At 45.0% G+C, this 7,189-nt stretch overlaps 2 protein-coding genes across 3 annotated transcripts in view; both read left to right on the top strand.

Annotated features, from left to right (window-relative positions):
• CT47A12 (cancer/testis antigen family 47 member A12) overlaps window positions 1-1,892 on the top strand; it is a 54,812-nt gene extending 52,920 nt beyond the window's left edge. The window contains exon 3 of the mRNA NM_001242922.2: window positions 1,752-1,892. The gene's annotated coding sequence lies outside the window, so the exon portion shown is untranslated. The remainder of the gene's footprint in view (window positions 1-1,751) is intronic.
• A 1,623-nt stretch (window positions 1,893-3,515) lies between these two features.
• On the top strand, window positions 3,516-6,775 carry CT47B1 (cancer/testis antigen family 47 member B1). 2 transcript variants are annotated; one of them, XM_017029734.3, is made up of 3 exons: window positions 3,516-4,486; window positions 5,365-5,517; window positions 6,642-6,775. In XM_017029734.3, the coding sequence occupies exons 1-2, from the start codon at window positions 3,712-3,714 to the stop codon at window positions 5,484-5,486; spliced, it is 897 nt and encodes a 298-aa protein (XP_016885223.1). In that variant the 5' UTR covers window positions 3,516-3,711; the 3' UTR covers window positions 5,487-5,517; window positions 6,642-6,775. The 2 variants fall into 2 exon arrangements, with proteins under 2 accessions (XP_016885223.1, NP_001139190.1); NM_001145718.3 differs by having other exon boundaries at window positions 5,362-5,517.
• Window positions 6,776-7,189: the final 414 nt, after the last annotated feature.

The raw sequence follows: 7,189 nt of genomic DNA, 5'->3' as shown, positions 1-7,189 counted from the left end.
GATCCCCCAAATGATGAAGTGATGCAGGAGCACTTGGTAAAAATGAAGCATTCAGGGGGGTGAGGAACCAATGAGCTTCACCATAGAATTTGTCTTTTGAGGTAAACAAATATTTTCCCAACAAAGTTCTGACCAAAACACCGTAGAATGAGATCGGACCCGATGATTCAGATCTCTTCTTCTCCAAAGAACTAGAAATAATCAGCCGCTTTGGGTGGGAGATTTACTGGAAAAAAGGGAAATACAGTGTCCCTGTGGAAATGATCAAGCAGCAGCAACGTGAGGGCCATGGAACTGTTGTGAAAACCAGTAGGAAGGTGCCCAGCTATTCCTTTCTTACTTAACTCTATCCTGCTTCTCCTGAGGGTGGAGTAGCTGAATGCCGCTGCTAGTTATAAATTGGGCTATATTTTCTGTGAATGTCTGGTCCCCATGTGTGTATTATTCTTCCCTAAAGAAGTCACTAAATCTCAGCCCGAAAAGTGGGATGAAGAGGCCCAAGATGCTGCAGGCGAGGAAGAGAAAGAACAAGAAAAAGAGAAGGATGCAGAAAACAAGGTGAAGAACTCCAAAGGGACCTAGACGCAGCAGAGGTGAAGCCAAGAAAATCCAGGTATCTGTGTATAGCTTTGAGAATCACTCAACTATTCCTGGCATTTACCTGTTGCAGACAGTTTTATTGAACAACAACAAAAATTCTCAGTAAGTTAAGTAAGAAAAAGTTTAAAATTAGTTTAAAAATTCAATTTAACTTACTTAAAATGTTACGAGAATATTCATGTACCTAGTAATATGAACTGCAGTGTGTTCTGAAATATACTTCTTGGCTACTCATTTGTTCATGTTGAGGTCTTTTGTCCTCTAGCTGCAAGACTACTAACAAGTGGCAGATGTATCAGACCTACTACCAGGACCAATATTTGTGTAGAAAACAGTTGCCAGACACAGCCGCTAACTTGGCTGGGCCACGCATTAGTTGGGCCTTCGTTACTTGACCACAGAAATGCAGGCTCCCGTAGTAACTAGGAGACAACTCAATGCCTTTTACAAAGTGACTACTTAAAAATAGCAAAAAGCTAAGAATTTCAAGTAGGACCACAATGAATGATTAATACCTAGATATTTATTTGGCTATATATTTTGGTATTTTATGTCACAGTCAGATGAAAAGAATGTGTGTTTATCACTGAATTGGTAATGAAGTCTTAAGGTATATCCATCTTTGAGTGTATTTAAATGGTTAACATTTTTCTTTCTTTCTTATTTATTTATTTATTTTGCATTTTCACAGCCGTATATTTCGTAACGGCTTCTTTCCCACATGGTAGATACGGAAACCAAGGGTCTGGGAGGGTAAGGGAGTATTATTTGTGGAACCAGCACAGGCTGTTGAAGCTTGAGAGATTTATTTAAATCCCAGAATGGCCCCTCATGTAAAAACAAAAGCAACAAGCTTTTCTAGTGCTAGGCAGACAAGGTTGGTGTGATCATTTGACTGAAACCTTCAGTTCCACAAGCACCCTGATATCCAAGCTCGTGAGTTACAAAAGGAAAAGATGGGCTTCTCTACTTGTTTAAGATATAGCACACAAATGTTGCAGATATACACAGAGCTGGCCATTTTCTTCTATTTAGAAAGTCACTGGTGCTGGTTAATGTTGTACTATTGTTTATCATCTCTCATTTCATCCCACAGTCGGGAGGAAAAGAAAGAAGACTCTGTTGTTCATTGTTTTTATCTTTTTCTCCAGATGCCTGTGGGAATTGTAACACATATCATTCCAAAGTTCGTTACATCAAAAGTGATATCCAGTGACATCTAACTTTCATGGATGTATGTGACAGTGTTCAAGTTAAAAAATAAAAGTTTGTTTTAAATGAATAAACTGAAACGTGGGAAGATTTTTCAATAAGTAATCTTAACTCAAATCTCTCCTTTACGTCTTTGTTTTGGCCCACCATACCTTCATTGAAAGATATTACTTTCCGCCATTTGGTAAGACTCTTTGAAATTCTTTCACTGCAGCCAAAAATCAAGTAAAATGACAAGTTTAAAACAATTTTTGAAAAGAGAGAGATGGGGCTCATCTTTAGAGCTGTGTGTTGTGACTACTGAGCACTTGTAATACGGCTAGTCTGATTTAATATGTGATGCAAGTGTGAAAATAATATTGCATATATTACTAATTTTTTTTTTTTTTTTTGAAACTGAGTCTCGCTCTGTCACCCAGGCTGGAGTGCAGTGGGGCCATCTTGGCTCACTGCAACCTCCACCTCCCAGGCTCCAGCAAATTTCCTGCCTCACCCTTCCGAGTAGCTGGGACTACAGGCGCGCACCACCATGTCCAGCTAATTTTTTGTATTTTTAGTACAGACAGGGTTTTACCATATTGGTCATGCTGGTCTCGAACTACTGACCTCAGGTGATCTGCCTGCCTCGGCCTCCCAAAGTGCGGCCTCCCAAAGTGCTGGATTACAGGCGTGAGCCACCACCCCCAGGCACTTTTGGTGTTTTTGATGCTTAGCTCTTATGAGATGACCTGGTCCTTTTAAAAAAAGTATCTCTTTTTTTCCCCATTATTTGGAGGTTTGAAGTGAATTTGGCAGGATTCATTAAACACCTTCCAGTGTCTGTCATTTACCACCTCAACACTCAGTGATGACTGCATCCATTTCAACTCTGCACATTCTTTTCTAAGTAGCTTTAACTACGTTAACTCAGTGAAATTCTTATGTCTCTTGGGAGGTTTTCACTACTGCTTAGCTATGAACTATATAACATTTTTATGACACTATCTCTACTGGCATGAGCCATTACTAGGTGGAAATAAGTGAACTCTGTGACCGCCTTGCAGTTCCCATGCTCCAGGGTGCCTCCACATGGGACTACTATAGTGTTGCTAATAATCATAAAATTAAAAGGGCAGGACTTGTGTGGACCTAAAGGGTAGCCCTGGACACTAAGGCCTCAAAGAAAAGGTGGAGCTCGGCCGGGCACACTGGCTCACGCCTGTAATCCCAGCACTTTGGGAGGCCGAGGTAGGTGGATCACAAGATCAGGAGATCGAGACCATCCTGGCCAACATGGTGAAACCCTGTCTCTACTAAAAATACAAAAACTAGCCGGGCGTGGTGGCATGCACCTATAGTCCCAGCTACTCAGGAGGCTGAGGCAGGAGAATCACTGGAACCCAGGAGGCGGGGATTGCAGTCAGCTGAGATCATGCCACTGTACTCCAGCCTGGGCAATAGAGCAAGGCTCCGTCTGAAAAAATAAAAATAAAAAAAAGAAAAGGAAAAGCTCTGGATTCTGGATTCTGAGTTGTCCTAGAGCTTAAGGGCCTTGATCATTCATTGGACAAAGAGCATGTCAATCTGAAGTTTTCAGCAAATGAGCTTAGGGCTCACTGAGAGCCCCTCGTTGACCCTTCCGGTCCCGCCCCCTGTCTCCTGCCAACCAGAATCTTTCCCGCCTTATCTAAGTCCTCTCAGGCCAGACTTGGTGGGAGGTTCCTAGGATTCGCTCCCTGCCCTTCCCACCTTAGGGTGTCCTCTGAGACAGACTCTTATTTCCTCAATAAAGAGAAAGACTCTTATTCCCTCAGCGGCCAGCTCCTCGCCTCCCCTCGGCCGTAGCCACCTCAGTGGTCACCGTCTTCACCGTGGTCGCCTCAGCCCGCTCGCCACCCCAGTTGAGGCGCTGCTGGTGTCATGTCTGCCACAGGGGACCGACACCCGACCCAAGGGGACCAGGAGGCCCCGGTAAGCCAGGAGGGAGCACAGGCCGAGGCGGCCGGAGCTGGTAACCAGGAGGGCGGCGACTCCGGCCCCGACAGCAGCGACATGGTGCCTGCGGCCGAGGTGGTCGGAGTCGCAGGGCCCGTGGAAGGCCTCGGGGAGGAGGAGGGTGAGCAGGCGGCAGGCCTGGCCGCAGTCCCCCAGGGCGGGAGCGCCGAGGAGGACTCAGATATCGGGCCCGCGACGGAGGAAGAGGAGGAGGAGGAAGAGGGGAACGAGGCGGCCAACTTCGACTTGGCGGTGGCCACCCGTCGGTACCCGGCGGCGGGCATTGGCTTCGTGTTCCTGTACCTGGTCCACTCCCTTCTCCGCCGCCTCTATCACAACGACCACATCCAGATAGCGAACCGTCACCTCAGCCGCCTGATGGTGGGGCCCCACGCTGCTGTGCCCAACCTCTGGGACAACCCTCCCCTGCTGCTGCTGTCCCAGAGGCTGGGTGCAGGGGCTGCAGCCCCAGAAGGCGAGGGCCTCGGCCTGATCCAGGAGGCTGCGTCGGTCCAGGAGGCCGCGTCGGTCCCAGAGCCTGCAGTGCCAGCTGACCTGGCCGAGATGGCCAGGGAGCCCGCGGAGGAGGCCGCAGATGAGAAACCCCCAGAGGAGGCCGCAGAGGAGAAGCTCACAGAGGAGGCCACAGAGGAACCGGCCGCAGAGGAACCGACCTCAGAGGAGGCCGTGGCCCCCGAGGGTAAGGGGGCTAGCGGCAGCAGCGGGGAAGCGGGGATCCATGTGTCCAAGGGCTCTGGGCAGGGCTGCGGTGCGGGCACAGCTGGTGAAGCGGGTGGTGAAGGGGGGTCGGGGCCTCGGGTGGTGAAGCAGGTGTTGGGGCCCTCCTGAAACTTAAGGCTGAATGTGTCCCAGTGAGTCGAAGCCCAATTCTCTAATGACATCTATGGTTTTGAGAAAACTTGCCGCCCTCTACCAACCTATATTTGATAGGAGATCTGAGATCATCGATGCCATTTGCGAGCCTGCAGATGAATGGCCAGGTAGATAGGGGTTCAGGAGGGAGCTCCGCAGGAAACAGAAGGAAAAGAACAGGCAAATGGGAGGCAGGCGTGCTTTTTGGTTCATGGCTTTTCAAAGTGTAAAGATTCGTAGAAAGTTGATCCCCCAAATGATGAAGTGATACAGGAGCACTTGGTAAAAATGAAACATTCAGGGGGTGAGGAACCAATGAGCTTCACCATAGAATTTGTCTTTTGAGGTAAACAAATATTTTCCCAACAAAGTTCTGACCAAAACACCATAGAATGAGATCAGACCCGATGATTCAGATCTCTTCTTCTCCAAAGAACTAGAAATAATCAGCCGCTTTGGGTGGGAGATTTACTGGAAAAAAGGGAAATACAGTGTCCCTGTGGAAATGATCAAGCAGCAGCAACGTGAGGGCCATGGAACTGTTGTGAAAACCAGTAGGAAGGTGCCCAGCTATTCCTTTCTTACTTAACTCTATCCTGCTTCTCCTGAGGGTGGAGTAACTGAATGCCGCTGCTAGTTATAAATTGGGCTATATTTTCTGTGAATGTCTGGTCCCCATGTGTGTATTATTCTTCCCTAAAGAAGTCACTAAATCTCAGCCCGAAAAGTGGGATGAAGAGGCCCAAGATGCTGCAGGCGAGGAAGAGAAAGAACAAGAAAAAGAGAAGGATGTGGAAAACAAGGTGAAGAACTCCAAAGGGACCTAGACGCAGCAGAGGTGAAGCCAAGAAAATCCAGGTATCTGTGTATAGCTTTGAGAATCAGTCAACTATTCCTGGCATTTACCTGTTGCAGACAGTTTTATTGAACAACAACAAAAATTCTCAGTAAGTTAAGTAAGAAAAAGTTTAAAATTAGTTTAAAAATTCAATTTAACTTACTTAAAATGTTACGAGAATATTCATGTACCTAGTAATATGAACTGCAGTGTGTTCTGAAATATACTTCTTGGCTACTCATTTGTTCATGTTGAGGTCTTTTGTCCTCTAGCTGCAAGACTACTAACAAGTGGCAGATGTATCAGACCTACTACCAGGACCAATATTTGTGTAGAAAACAGTTGCCAGACACAGCCGCTAACTTGGCTGGGCCACGCATTAGTTGGGCCTTCATTACTTGACCACAGAAATGCAGGCTCCCGTAGTAACTAGGAGACAACTCAATGCCTTTTACAAAGTGACTACTTAAAAATAGCAAAAAGCTAAGAATTTCAAGTAGGACCACAATTAATGACTAATACCTATATATTTATTTAGCTATATATTTTGGTATTTTATGTCACAGTCAGATGAAAAGAATGTGTGTTTATCACTGAATTGGTAATGAAGTCTTAAGGTATATCTGTCTTTGAGTATATTTAAATGGTTAACATTTTTCTTTCTTTCTTATTTATTTTGCATTTTCACAGCCGTATATTTCGTAACGGCTTCTTTCCCACATGGTAGATACGGAAACCAAGGGTCTGGGAGGGTAAGGGAGTATCATTTGTGGAACCAGCACAGGCTGTTGAAGCTTGAGAGATTTATTTAAATCCCAGAATGGCCCCTCATGTAAAAACAAAAGCAACAAGCTTTTCTAGTGCTAGGCAGACAAGGTTGGTGTGATCATTTGACTGAAACCTTCAGTTCCACAAGCACCCTGATATCCAAGCTCGTGAGTTACAAAAGGAAAAGATGGGCTTCTCTACCTGTTTAAGATATAGCACACAAATGTTGCAGATATACACAGAGCTGGCCATTTTCTTCTATTTAGAAAGTCACTGGTGCTGGTTAATGTTGTACTATTGTTTATTTTCTCTCATTTCATCCCACAGTTGGGAGGAAAAGAAGACTCTGTTGTTCATTGTTTTATTTTTTTTTCAGATGCCTGTGGGAATTGTAACACATATCATTCCAAAGTTCGTTACATCAAAAGTGATATCCAGTGACATCTAACTTTCATGGATGTATGTGACAGTGTTTGTTCAAGTTAAAAATAAAAGTTTGTTTTCAATGAATAAACTGAAACGTGGGAAGATTTTTCAATAAATAATCCTAACTCAAATCTCTCTTTTAAGTCTTTGTTTTGGCCCACCATACCTTCATTGAAAGGTGTTACTTTCCACCACTTGGTAAGACTGTTTGAAATTCTTTTACTGCTGCCAAAAATCAAGTAAAATGACAAGTTTAAAACAATTTTTGGAAAGAGAGAGATGGGGCTCATCTTTAGAGCTGTGTGTTGTGGCTACTGAGCACTTGTCATATGGCTAGTCTGATTTAATATGTGCTGTAAGTGTGAAAATAATATTGCATATCTTACTAATTTTTTTTTTGAGACTGAGTCTCACTCTGTCACCCAGGCTGGAGTGCAGTGGCGTGGTCTCAACTCACTGCAACCTCCGCCTCCCAGCTTCTAGCAATTCTCCTGCCTC

This window comes from Homo sapiens, chromosome X (genome assembly GCF_000001405.40).
Source record: "Homo sapiens chromosome X, GRCh38.p14 Primary Assembly".
Lineage (NCBI taxonomy): Eukaryota > Metazoa > Chordata > Mammalia > Primates > Hominidae > Homo > Homo sapiens.
The sequence above is the reverse complement of the archived record's forward strand: the minus strand, read 5'-3'. Positions and strand labels throughout refer to the sequence as shown.